This window comes from Homo sapiens, chromosome 18 (assembly GCF_000001405.40).
Source record: "Homo sapiens chromosome 18, GRCh38.p14 Primary Assembly".
NCBI lineage: Eukaryota > Metazoa > Chordata > Mammalia > Primates > Hominidae > Homo > Homo sapiens.
The window spans coordinates 31,928,220-31,942,012 of record NC_000018.10 but is presented as its reverse complement, the minus strand read 5'-3'; the positions used below and the strand labels follow the sequence as shown (position 1 = coordinate 31,942,012).

General features: G+C 42.5%; 1 protein-coding gene and 1 pseudogene across 11 annotated transcripts in view; one reads left to right on the top strand and one right to left on the bottom strand.

Annotated features, from left to right (window-relative positions):
• TRAPPC8 (trafficking protein particle complex subunit 8) overlaps window positions 1-13,793 on the top strand; it is a 113,932-nt gene that overhangs the window by 1,116 nt on the left and 99,023 nt on the right. For 9 of the 11 annotated variants that reach the window (XM_017025616.3, NM_014939.5, XM_005258234.4 and 6 more), the window contains exon 2: window positions 10,490-10,684. In XM_017025616.3, coding sequence (XP_016881105.1) covers window positions 10,490-10,684 — 195 coding nt within the window. Of the gene's footprint in view, window positions 1-5,561; window positions 5,675-10,489; window positions 10,685-13,793 lie in introns of those variants that run through there. The other 2 variants (XM_017025615.2, XM_047437353.1) reach the window with 1 other exon arrangement.
• On the bottom strand, window positions 4,374-4,480 carry RNU6-1050P (RNA, U6 small nuclear 1050, pseudogene; annotated as a pseudogene).

The window sequence follows — 13,793 nt, the reverse complement described above, 5'->3', positions numbered from 1 at the left end:
TTGCCCTAAGGAAGAGGAAGCAAGCCCAAGTTGTGGTTAATTTAACCTGGATATTTGGAGTTATCTATAGTTATAGGGATGGAAATGTCTTCTCTTGTTAATGAATGTCTTGTTAAGAAGCTACCCGTTTTCTCCAGTTTTGGATTTTTTTATTAGGAGAAAATAATGTGGTAAAGCTTCAAGCATGTTTTAGCCAATATCTTGCAAACAACAAAGTCCAAGTAAAGTTTTTTTTGTTAAGGTCGGTAAGAACTGAAGGGTTTCATAATAAGCCTGTGTCAGGCAAACGACTGTGATGTTTGTTAGCTTAATATGACTTATCCACAAAAAAAATCAGTGCTGTACCATTTTTGCGCTACCATGTTTTTTGGGAGAATAGTTCCATTATAAATTAGCTTTTGTTTTTAGCGGAGAGAGGGAGCTGTCCAAAAAAACAAAGTTTGGAAACTTTTGGATTTTCTTTAGCCTGTATCGTAGCCATCAGTCTCAGTTCCTTCAGTGTTGGACTTAAGAGCAACAAAATGCCCTACGTTTTTTATTTTTTTGTTATTTATTTATTTATTTATTTTGAGATGGAGTTTCGCTCTTGTTGCCCAGACTGGAGTGCAGTGGCGCGATCTCAGCCCACCGCCACCTCCGCCTCCCAGGTTCAAGCGATTCTCCTGCCTCAGCCTTCTGAGTAACTGAGATTACAGGCATGCGCCACCATACTCGGATAATTTTTGTATTTTTAGTAGAGACAGGGTTTCTCCATGTTGGTCAGGTTGGTCTCGAACTCCCGACCTCAGGTGATCTGCCCGCCTCGGCCTCGCAAAGTGCGGGGATTATGGGCGTGAGCCACCGCGCCCGGCCTTGAATTCCTAAAAAAACACAAACACTTGAGCTAGTTTTACTTTTATATGTGTACTCTTTCCTTCTTTCTTAATAAATAATAATAATGCTAATACCTGATACTTGCTTTGTGTAACTTTTCTTTTTTAGTCCTCATTGAATCCTGTTATTGCAATTTTAAATTTGAGGACCTTGAAGCATAGAAGTGTTAATTTGTTCACAGTTTTGCGTCTGGGAAAGATTTGAAACAGGCAGTGTGACTCAAGACATTGTGTTCTTAATCATCTTATCTCCTGACAGTATTTAGAATTATGTATTTACACCATAGAGCAGTGCTGTCTAATTGAAATATAATGTGAGTCACAGGTATAATTAAAAAATTTTCGGCCGGGCGCGGTGGCTCACGCTTGTAATCCCAGCTCTTTGGGAGGCCGAGGCGGGTGGATCACGAGGTCAGGAGTTCGAGACCATCCTGGCCAACATGGTGAAACCCCGTTTCTACTAAAAATACAAAAATTAGCTGGGCGTGGTGGTGGGCGCCTGTAGTCCCAGCTACTCGAGAAGCTGAGGCAGGAGAATCACTTGAACCCGGGAGGCACAGTGAGACTCCATCTCAAAACCAACCAAACAAACAACAACAACAAAAAATTTTAGTAGCCACATTAAAAAAGTAAAAAGAAACAAGTGAAATTAGTTTTTTTGTTTTTTGTTTTTTGGAGATGGAGTCTTGCCCTGTTGCCCAGGCTGGGAGTGCAGTGGCGCGATCTTGGCTCACTACAACCTCTGCCTCCCAGGTTCAAGCGATTTTCCAGCCTCAGCCTCCCGAGTAGCTGGGATTACAGGCGCTCACGGCTTATTTTTGTATTTTTAGTAGAGACAGGGTTTCACCATGTTGGCCAGGCTGGTCTCGAACTCCTGACCTCGTGGTCCGCCCGCCTCCGCCTCCCAAAGTGCTGGGATTACAGGCGTGAGCCACCGTGCCCGGCCGAAATTAGTTTTAATACTGTATTTTATTTAACTCAGTATTTCCAAAATGTTACTATTTCAATGTGTAATCAATGTGAAAAATATTCATGAGATATTTTACATTCTTTTTTATTGCTTAGTCTTTGAAATTTGGTGTGCCTTTTATACTTAACATCTCAATTTGTACTAGTCACATTTCAAGTACTCAGTAGCCATATGCAGCTGTTGCCTACTGTATTGGACAGTGCTGTGATAGCGGCTCATTGTCAGTACACTTCTGATTTCCTTCAGGAGACTGGGGAAGATTAGGGAAGGAGTTTTTTTGTTTGTTTGTTTTTTGTTTTGAGACAAGGTCTTGCTCTGTTACCCACGCTGGGAGGGCTGGAGTGCAATTGTATCACCATAGCTCCCTCACCCACTGCAGCCTCAACTTCCCAGGTTCTAGCTATCCTCTTGTCTCAGCCTCCCAAGTAGCTGGGACTACAGGCACATGCCATCATGCCTGGCTAATTTTTAAATTTTTTGTAGAGATGGGGTTTCTCCTTGTTGCCCAGGCTCGTCTCGGACCACTGCGTCCAGCCTAGTGAAGGAGTATAATGAGTTGGACGTTAGTGGACAGGTAGACAGTTGGTAGAAAGCAAGAGGGCAGTCATTCCCTATGAAGGAGTGGTATGAGGTTATAATGGTATGGGCAAAAGGTCTAAATTATGACTGAATGGTTGGGAAACAGGGAGGAAACTCTTACTGGGGTACAGAGTAGTAAGAGGATGCTTAGATAAAGGGAGGACCTTGAATTCTAGGAAAGGGATTTGCGATTTTATGTCTAATGGTAAATGTGAGTAGATTCTTGAGGGTCTGAAACATTTGGACATTAATGAGTTGAAAGTTTTGGAGATTAGTGAGTTGTGTGGTTTATAAGGATAGATATAAGTAGATACAAGTTTTACATTTCAAGATGAACATGGACTATGATAGTAGCATTAGAAATTTGGCAAAGAGGACTTAATTTTTCTTGGTTTTAGTTTTTTGCTGGTATAAATACATTTTAGAATTCTTTACCACCTAGAACAGCTACTTTTTGTTTCAAGTGTGGGGATTCTTCAAAGACAGCTTTTTTTTTTTTTTTTTTTTTTGAGACGGAGTCTCGCTCTGTCACCAGGCTGGAGTGCAGCGGCGAGATAGATCTTGGCTCACTGCAAGCTCCGCCTCCCGGGTTCAAGTGATTCTCCTGCCTCAGCCTCCCGAGTAGCTGGGACTACAGGCTCGTGCCACCATGCTCAGCTAATTTTTCTATTTTTGGTAGAGATGGGGTTTCACCATGTTGGCCAGGATTGTCTCTATCTCTTGACCTCATGATCTGCCCGCCTTGGCCTCCCAAAGTGCTGGGATTACAGGCATGAGCCACTGAGCTAGGCAACAGCTTTTCTTTAGCAAGTGAGGCATGAGAATATAATTTCAGGCAATGTAATTTAAGAATACAACTGACTAAAACCAGCTAACATTTCCTTAGAGGGAGAAAAAATATGTTAAAAAAGAAGACTCAATTTCTGGCCTGTAGGTATGCCTTTACTTAGGGTAGAACTTTGCCTTGACTGCTGAGTTTTCAAGGAGTGTCAAGTACAGTGCCAAGTATTGTCAGGAGACTTATTTTTAGATTTTAGTAGAAAACACTTGGTTTAAAGCTATACCAAAGAGAGGGTTGGTAGAAGAGATTTGAGTACTATTTGTGTGTAGGGCCTTCAAAATACAGTTTAGACTTGATGTATTACACAACGGAGAGCCATTTTAGGTTCCTTAGAGACATTTTAAAACCTGAAGAGTATTAAATTATGTTAAAATTAAATTATATTAAAATATATAATTAAATTTATTATATGTATTTTCTGTGATTGTTATGCTTGATGTATGTTTGAGAGTTAATGTAGTCATTGTTTGACACAAATTTTGAGATCCTAATACTCAAAGAATTTCCACTGGCCATGTTTCAAAGAGTCGTGGTATTAATATTAATTAATCAAGCAAACAACAAAAAATTAAAATTAAGCCTTGTTTTTGCTTAGTGATAGTTCTTTGATAGTTCTAAACAATGTTGCAATATATCATTTAGATGTTCTGTAAGTTTTAAGAAAATTTCACTTAAACACTAACTTGGAAGTATGTGGGTTATATATTATTTTATTTTGAAATTAAGGTTACTAAAGGGATTAAAAAGTAGGCCAGGTGCAGTGTCTTAGGCCTGTAATCTCAGCACTTTGGGAGGCTGAGTTGGATGATAACCTGAGGTCAGGAGTTTGAGACCAGCGTGGCTAACGTGGCGAAACCCCATCTCTACTGAAAGTACAAAATTAGCCTGGTGTGGTGGTGGGCGCTTGTAGTCCCAGCTGCTCGGGAGGCTGAGGCAGGAGAATCACTTGAACTCGAGAGGTGAAGGTTGCAGTGAGCCAAGATTTTGCCACTGTACTCCAGCCTGGGTGACAGAGCGAGACTCTGTCTCAAAAAAACAACAAAAAAAAGTAGACTAGGATATAACTTTTGAAGGCTATTTAATATCTCCAGTTTTCTTAAATTTCTTTTTCTTTTCTTTTTGAATTCTTGAAAAACATTGTGTGATCCTTGTGCAGGAGCTATGCTAATCTTCTCTGTATCATTCCAATTTTAGTATATGTGCTGCTGAAGTGAGCAGTTTTTTTTTTGAGACAGAGCCTCACTCTGTTGCCCAGGCTGGTCTTGAACTCCGTGGCTCACTATAGCCTCAACCTTCTGGCTCAAAATATCCTCCCTCATCAGCCTCACCAGTAGCTGGGGTTATGGGCATGTACCACCACACCTGGCTAATTTTTGTAGTTTTTGTAGAAATGGGGTTTTGCCATGCTGCCCAGCCGGTCTCAAACTCATGGACTCAAGCAATTTACCCGCTTTGGATTCCCAAAGTGCTTTGATTACAGGCGCGAGCCACTGCGACCGGCCTTAAATTTCTTTCCTTTTCCTTTATTTTTATTTTTTGAGACGGAGTCTCGCTCTGTCACCCAGGCTGGAGTGCAGTGGTGCGTCTCAGCTCACTGCAAGCTCCGCCTCCTGGGTTCACTCCATTCTCCTGCCTCAGACTCCTGAGTAGCTGGGACTATAGGCGCCCACCACCACGCCTGGCTAATTTTTTGTGTTTTTTTAGTAGAGACGGGATTTCACCATGTTAGCCAGGATGGTCTTGATCTCCTGACCTCGTGATCCACCCGCCTTGGCCTCCCAAAGTGTTGGGATTACAGGCGTGAGCCACCGCGCCTGGCTCCTTTTTTTTTTTTTTTTTTTTTTTTTTAAAGACGGAGTCTTGCTCTGTCACCCAGACTGCAGTGCCGTCGCACAATCTTAGCTCACTGCAACCTCCGCCTCCCAGGTTCAAGCAATTCTCCTGCCTCAGCCTCCTAAGTAGCTGGCATTACAGGCACGGGCCACCACTCCTGGCTAATTTTCGTGTTGTTAGTAGAGACAGGGTTTTGCTATGTTGGCCAGGCTAGTCTCGAACTCCCGACCTCAAGTGATCCACCCGCCTTCGGCCTCCCAAAGTGCTGGATTACAGGCATGAGCCACTGCGTCTGGCCTCTTAAATTTCTTTTAGTTGGAAATATTTCATCAATCTTAACTACCATGTTTATATAATGAAGTAATTAATCTCCAAGGTGTGGAAGTACCAAACTCTGAATAAAATTCAAGTCAGTTTTTCGAAATTTGTTTTCATTTTGTTTTATTAATTTTTCGAGACAGGGTCTCACTTTGTCACCTAGGCTGGATACAGGGGGCATGATCATGGTTCACTGCAGCCTCGACCTCCTGGGCTCAAGCGATCATTCCACATTGGCCTCCTGGGTAGCTGGGATTACAGGTTTGCATCACACATTTGGCTAATTAAAAAAAAAATTTTTTTTGTAGAGATGGGGTTTTGCTGTGTTTCCCAGGCTGTTCTTGAACTCTTGGACTCAAGCGATCTGCCAGCCTCGGCCTCCCAAAGTGCCTAGATTACAGGCTTGAGCCACTACACCCAGCCAGAGGGTTTTTTAATATGGTAAAGTTTTATATGTATAAAGTATACAAGATCCTCCTACCTTAGCCTCCTGAGTAGCACACAGGTGTGTGCCATCACACCCAGCTAATTAAAAAAAATTTTTTTATAGAGATGGGGTCTTGTGCCAGGTGTGGTGGCTCACGCCTGTAATCCCAGCACTTTGGGAGGCCGAGGTGGGTGGATCATGAGGTCAAGAGTTTGAGACCGGCGTGGCCAACATGGCGAAACCTCGTCTCTACTAAAAAAACACAAAAAATTAGCCGGGTGTGGTGGCGGGCGCCTGTAATCCCAGCTACTCGGGAGGCTGAGGCAGGGGAATTGCTTGAACCTGGGAGGCGGAGGTTGCAGTGAGTTGAAATCATGCAATTGCACTCCAGCCTGGGTGACGGAGCGAGACTCTGTCTCAAAAAAAAAAAAAGAAATGGGGTCTCTCTCCCTCTGTTGTCCAGGCTGGTCTTGAATTCCTGGGTGCAAGTGATCCTCCTGCTTTAGCCTCCTAAAATGCTGAGATTACAGGCTTGAGGCACTCACTGGGTGCAGTGGGTCCAGTGGCTCAAGCCTATAATCGCAGGCTTGTTCATAAAGCCTGCTTTTTTTTTTTTTTTTTTTTAAGATGGAGTTTCGCTCTTGTTGCCCAGGCTGGAGTGCAATGGCACGATCTTGGCTCACCGCAACCTCCACCTCCCAGGTTCAAGCAGTTCTGCCTCAGCCTGCCGAGTAGCTGGCTTGAGCCACTGGGTGCAGCGGCTCCAGCCTGTAATTGCAGACTTATTTATAAAGCCTGTTTTTTTTTTGGTTTGTTTGTTTGTTTGTTTTTGAGGTGGAGTTTCGCTCTTGTTGCCCAGGCTGGAGTGCAGTGGCGCAATCTCGGCTCACTGCAACCTCCACTTCCAAGGTTCAAGCAATTCTGCCTCAGCCTCCCTGGTAGCTGGGATTACAGGCATGCGCCACCACGCCTGGCTAATTTTGTATTTTTAGTAGAGACGGGGTTTCTCTATGTTGGTCAGGCTGGTTTTGAACTCCCAACCTCAGGTGATCCGCCCGCCAAGGCCTCTCAAAGTGTTGGGATTACAGGCATGAGCCATCACGCCCGGCCTAGCCTGTTTTCTTTGTACAGTTTTATATGCTGGGTAAAAGCATAAAAGATGTCATTATTTTCAAAATACATTTTATTTATTTATTTATTTATTTATTTATTTATTTATTTATGAGACGGAGCCTCTCTCTGTTGCCCAGCAGGCTGGAGTGCAGTAGTGTGATCTCAGCTCTCATTGCCCAGGCTGGAGTGCAGTAGTGTGATCTCAGCTCTCATTGCCCAGGCTGGAGTACAATGGTGTGGTCTCGGCTCAGTGCAACCTCTGCCTCCCGGGTTCAAGCGATTCTCCTGCCTCAGCCTCCAGAGTAGCTGGGATTACAGGCACGTGCCACCATGCCCGGCTAATTTTGTATTTTTAGTAGAGACGGGGTTTCACCACGTTGGCCAGGCTGGTCTTGAACTCCTGACCTCTGGTGATCCGCCCGCCTTGACCTACCAAAGTGCTGGGATTACAGGTGTGAGCCACTGCGCCCAGCTATGAAGCAACTTTAAGGAAAATACTTGTCCAATATGTTCCTAAGGATATCAGAAATGCACCATAGTTTTTTTGTTTGTTTGTTTGTTTCTCTGCTGCATAATTAGACTGACTGGGAAGTTTAGGGAGAGAGGCTGGTATGTTTATTTAAGTTAGAAAACATAACAGTTATAGAAGAATGCAGATAATACAAGAAACATCCACCTCCCCACTACCCAGAACTAACAAATATTAACCCTCCATCATATTTGCTTTTTATCTTTTCTTTTAAAAAAAAAATCAAACGTTATAGGACAGACTTCCCAGGTTGAAGTTTTCTTTCTACCTTATCTTAGTCTCTTTTCTTTCCTTCCTTTTATAGGCAACCACTATCATAGAATTTGCATGTACCATTTTTTTTTTTTGAAAGGGAGTCTCTGTCGCCCAGGCTGGAGTGCAGTGGCGCAATCTTGGCTCACTGCAACTTCTGCCTCCTGGTTTCAAGTGATTCTCTTGCCTCAGCCTTCCAAATAGCTGGGAATACAGGCGCTTGCCACCATGCCTGGCTAATTTTTGTATTTTAGTAGAGATGGGGGTTTCACCTTGTTGGCCAGGCTGGTCTCGAACTCCTGACCTCAAGTGTTCCGCCCGCTTCAGCCTCCCAAAAGTGCTGGGATTACAACAGTGAGACACCATGCCCGGCTGCATGTATACTTTTTGTGTATCTATATTTATGTTTACAATATAAATACACATTTGTACCACATACAGTATTTTAAAAACGTTTTTGAGTCTTTTTTTTTAGTAAAAAATGTTAGAAATCAATAGAACACATAGGAAATGTAGAAAAGTTTGTATGCATATAACTTTATTTAAAATATACGCAGGCCTTGATTTTGGTATAAGGCATTTTCCATTGAGAAGAATGTGTCATTCTTTATTTGTAGGTACCCAGACCACTTTCCCAAAGTTGCCTCTTATTTGTATGTGATAATAACCCATGGTGCAGGTGAAATAGGTGATGTTGTATCTGCTGCTGCTGCTATACCGCCTTCATTATGTATTGTTGAGCATGGTGCTCAGTGCTTTGCAATTACTGTCTAACAATAGTTCACCTAAATCACTAAAATGATCCCGTGAAGTAGATAGTAATCACATGTGCAGATGAAGAATTTGAAGCACAGAAGGGTTAAGTTGTTCAGGGTAACCCAGTTGATAAGTAATGGGTTGGGATTTAAATCAAGGTCCAACTCCAAAAGCTGGGTCCTCAATCATTATAATGGACTCCTTTTTTTTTTTTTTTTTTTTGAGACGGAGTCTCGCTCTGTTGCCCAGGCTGGAGTGCAGTGGCACGATCTCAGCTCACTGCCAGCTCCGCCCGCCGGGTTCACACCATTCTCCTGCTTCAGCCTCCCAAGTAGCTGGGACTATAGGTGCCCACCACCACGCCCGGCTAATTTTTTATGTTTTTAGTAGAGACAGGGTTTCACCGTGTTAGCCAGGATGGTCTCGGTCTCCTGACCTCGTGATCTGCCCGCCTTGGCCTCCCAAAGTGCTGGGATTACAGGTGTGAGCCACTGCGCCCGGCTTTTTTTTTTTTTTTTTTTTTTTGAGACGGAGTCTCACTCTGTCGCCCAGGCTGGAATGCAGTGGCGCAATCTTGGCTCACTGCAACCCTCCGCCTTGGCTCACTGCAGCCTCCGCATTCAAGTGATTCTCCTGCCTCAGCGTCCCCAGTAGCTGGGATTACAGGCGCCCGCCACCATGCCTGGCTACTTTTTGTATTTTTAGTAGAGACGAGGTTTCACTATGTTGGCCAGGCTGGTCTCGAACTCCTGACCTCAGGTGATCCACCCACCTCTACCTACTAAAGTGCTGGGATTACAGGCGTGAGCCACTGTGCCCAGCCCTGTAATGGACTGCTTTTAATGCTACTGTGGAACATTTTGTCTGATTATGTGAAAAAATATGCTCACATTTTGTTCTGTGGACTGTGGACACTGTCTTCTTGCTGTAATTGCCTCAGAACCTATTCCCTGTCCTGAATCTCTGAACTACTTACTGGTTATAAATTGTATAGGCTGAAACAAGGACTATAGGACGGTGGAGGCAGGAAGTATTAGGGTGGTAAAAGGGATCTGGACATTGTTTTTTTGTTGTTGTTGTTGTTTTTTTTTTTTTGGAGACCAAGTCTCACTCTGTCACCCAAGCTAGAGTGCAGCAGTGCAATCTCGGCTCGCTGCAACCTCCGCCTCCCGGATTCAAGCAATTCTCCTGCCTCAGCCTCCTGAGTAGCTGGGATTACAGGCACCCGCCACCATACCCAGCTAATTTTTTGTATTTTTACTAGAGACAAGGTTTTGCCATGTTGGCCAGGCTTGTCTCCAACTCCTGACTTCAAGCTGTCTGTCTCGGCCTCCCAAAGTGCTGTGATTATAGGCGTGAGCCACCGCGCCTGGCCAGAGTTTTTTTTTTAAGTAGACTCTATTTTTAAGACCAGTTTTAGATTAATGGCAAATTTGAGCAGAAAGTACAGAGAGTTTCTACATACCTCTTGGCCCTGCACATGCACAGCCTCCACCACAGCATCGTGCACTGGTGTGGGCATTGATTTTTATGAGAGTGAAAAAGAGGCTAAGAATGCAGGCCGACTAGGGAAAGAAGAAGGAAGCCCAAGTGCAACATTTTAACTCCCCTTTCTTTTTCCTTTTACTGTTTCTAGTGTTAATACCATAGACCTTACGCTGCCTTGGACCAGCTTTAGTGTGAGGTGAGAATAAGGGAAGTGGTATGGATAGTAGTTGGTTTCTGGCAACTCCAAACATAGGAAAGGAGAGGACCTACAGTAGGAAAGCTGAGCAGTAGTGAGAGGGGAAGGAATCCTGTGGTTAATAAACTGTCTAGCTAGCCCTTTTGGTATATGAGGGAATGTTGTCAACCATTTATATTTCTGGAAGAACGTTCCACTTGGAATTGCTGGCTTCTGCTTTGTACATCCTTTTTGTTTGTAAACCATCAGCCCAATTTTGGGTTATTATGCATTGTATAGAATTAATTTCAAGTTTTTTTCTTTTTTTCTTTAAAGTTCACATGAGAGATCCTAATAATCAACTTCACGTAATTAAAAATTTGAAGATAGCAGTAAGCAACATTGTCACCCAGCCACCTCAGCCTGGAGCCATCCGGAAGCTTTTGAATGATGTTGTTTCTGGCAGTCAGCCTGCAGAAGGATTAGTAGCTAATGTGATTACAGCAGGAGATTATGACCTTAACATCAGTGGTATGTAACAAGGTTTATTGTTATTTTTTGAGTGAAATTTCGTTTTGTTAGAAAAAGCGATTCTATGACTTGGGAGATGATCAACATGTATTTAAGAGTTTACTAAGTGCTAGGGCCTGAGAATACAATGTTGAAAACAGTCCTAGGAACTTTGCCTGTTTATTATTTTAGGACCTAAAGTAGTATCTAGAACATATGCATAATAAATATTTGTTGAATGAAAGAACTAACAGTAAATTAAAAAATTCTTTTGTGACATAAGTAATATTATAATTAAATAAGCATTAAGTTTATTGTATTTTTATCTTGCTTGGTGTTAAGTGGAGGAAATGTTTATAAAATGCGTAAATATGTAATCTGTTGTGAGTACGTCTTTAACTTGAATGGTAAATGTTTTCATAACAAGATTGGTAGGTAAAATCATATATGTACATATGTATTTTATTTTTTAAATTAAATTTTTATAGAGATAGGGGGTCTCATTATGTTCCCCAGGCTGGTCTTAAACTCCTGACCTCAAGTGATCCTCCTGTGTTTTATTTTTTAAGTTAAATTTTTATAGAGATAGGGAGTCTCATTATGTTCCCCAGGCTGGTGTTAAACTCCTGACCTCAAGTGATCCTCCTGCTTAGCTTCCCAAGTGCTGGGATTACAGGTGTGAGCCACTGTTCCCAGCCTGAAATTATATATTAATATGTAAAGTGAATTAGAAGTATTTGGTCTAACTGTTTTCCAATATTAAAAAGTCTTAATTGACATGGGGTAGATATTTTAGAGGGAAAATATTCAAAGTACATCATCAAATTAACATATTTCAGCAGTCTAATAAAGTAATCTTTTTAGGCCAGGATAGTTTATAATCTAATACTTTAATACTTCCTAATATCATATTTAAAGATTTTCCTAAGCAGCCAGGCGTGGTGGCTTACCCCTGTAATCCCAGCACTTTGGGAGGCCGAGGCAGGCGGATCACTTGAGGTCAGGAGTTCAAGACCAGCCTGACCAACATAGTGAAACCCCGTCTCTACTAAAAATACAAAAATTAGCTGGGTGTGGTGGCAGGTGCCTGTAATCCCAGCTACTTGGGAGGCCAAGGCAGAAGAATCGCTTGAACCCGGGAGGCAGAGGTTGCAGTGAGCCAAGATGGCACCATGGCACTCCAGCCTGGGCAACAGAGCGAGACTCTGTTTAAAAAAAAAAAAAAAAGTTTTTCCTAAACATACGCAGAGAATTTGAAACAGGCATATGTTAGGTCACCAAGTTAGTTGTTGCTCTTGTATAGTTAAAAATATTTGTAGAATTATTTCGTTTAAGTGTTCTGTATTTTTTTCTTTTTTCTTTGCCTTTAGTTTTAATTCCAGCAAGATGAGTCAACTTGATAATTTTAAGTTGAGAATATTATGGTTATCTTTACCAGTCAAAAAAATCTGAATTTCTTAACAGTTCCTAGCATGTTTTCAATATGAAGCAAAAATTTGGGTATTTCTTGGAGAAAGGAATAGAATTTGAACTGTTATTTTTCTCTCATCAGTGTTGTAGTGTGAAGGGCAATGAATCAAATGCCAGAGTGTCCAAGTTTTTGTACTACCATAGTCATTAGTTAATTAGATAACCTGAATAAGTCACTTAGTGTTTCTTTTTATTTTTATTTATAGTATTTTTTGTGACAGGGTCTCACTCTGTCAACCAGGCTGGAGTGCAGTGGTGCTATCACAGTTCACTGTAGCCTCAACCTCCCTGGGCTCAGGTGATCCTCTCACCTCAGCCTACCAACTATGCCAGGCTAATATGTTTTTTTAAAAGAGACAAGGTCTCTCTCTGTCACACAGGCTGGAGTGTAGTGGTGTAATCATTGCTCATTGCAGCCTTGAACTCCTGGACTTATGCAATCTTCTCACCTCAGCCTCCCAAGTAATTAGGACTATAGCTGCACACCACCATGCTTGGCTAATTTTTAAATTTTTTTGTAGAGACAGGGTCTCACTATGTTCAAGTGATCCTCTCACCCTGGCCTCTCAAAGTGTTGAGATTACAGGCATGAGCCACCATGCCCAGCCAAGTCACTTAGTGTTTCTGAGACTCTGTTTCCACCTCTGAAAACAGGAGTTTGGCTGGATTCTTTTCTTTTTTTTTTTTTCACTTTTTTTGAGACGGAGTCTCACTCTGTCACCCAGGCTGGAGTGTGGTGGCATGATCTCGGCTCACTGAAACCTCCACCTCCCGGGTTCGAGAGATTCTCCTGCCTCAGCCTCCCGAGTATCTGGGATTACAGGTGCCCACCACCACGCCCAGCTAATTTTTTGTATTTTTAGAGGTGATGGAGTTTCATCATGTTGGCCAGGCTGGTTTCGAACTCCTGACCTCAACTGATCCACCTGCCTCAGCCTCCCAAAGTGCTGGGATTACAGGCGTGAGCCACCACTCCTGGCCTGGCTGGATTCTTTCTTAAGGCCTCTCGTAGACCTTTATATGTGATTCTGTTTTGCAGGATCTTAACAAGTTTGTTAGCCATGCAACAAATATTTATTGATTTCTGCTGTGTGCTTTGTATTGAGATGCAGAGATGAATAACACATGCTTTAAAGTTTATAATCTGGTAGGGAGACAAACGTGTTAATCAGTAATCATAGTAAGGTCTAATTTATAATACGTTAATATCAACAATACATTGTAATAGAGCTGTGGCATACCTGGTATGCCAAAAGTGCTAAAGGGGCACAGAGAGGGATTACCTATCATATTTAAAAAACAAAAATATCTTTTTGTCTTATATTTATTTCTTTTATTTTTTTTTCTTATTTTTAAGAGACAGGGTCTTACTCTATCACCCTAAGGCTGGTGTGCAGTGGTATGATCATAGCCCACTGTAACCTTGAACTCTTGAGCTCAAGGGGTCATCCCATCTCAGCCTCCTGAGTAGGTGGGACTATAGGTGTGTACTATGCTTGGTTAATTAAAATCTGTGTGTGTGTGTGTGTGTGTGTGTGTGTGTAGAGATAAGGTCTCGCTGTGTTTATTAGCAGGCTGGTGTTGAACTTCTGGCCTCAAGCGATCCTCGTACCTTGGCCTCCCAAAGTGCTGGGATTACAGTTGTGAGCCACTGTGCCTG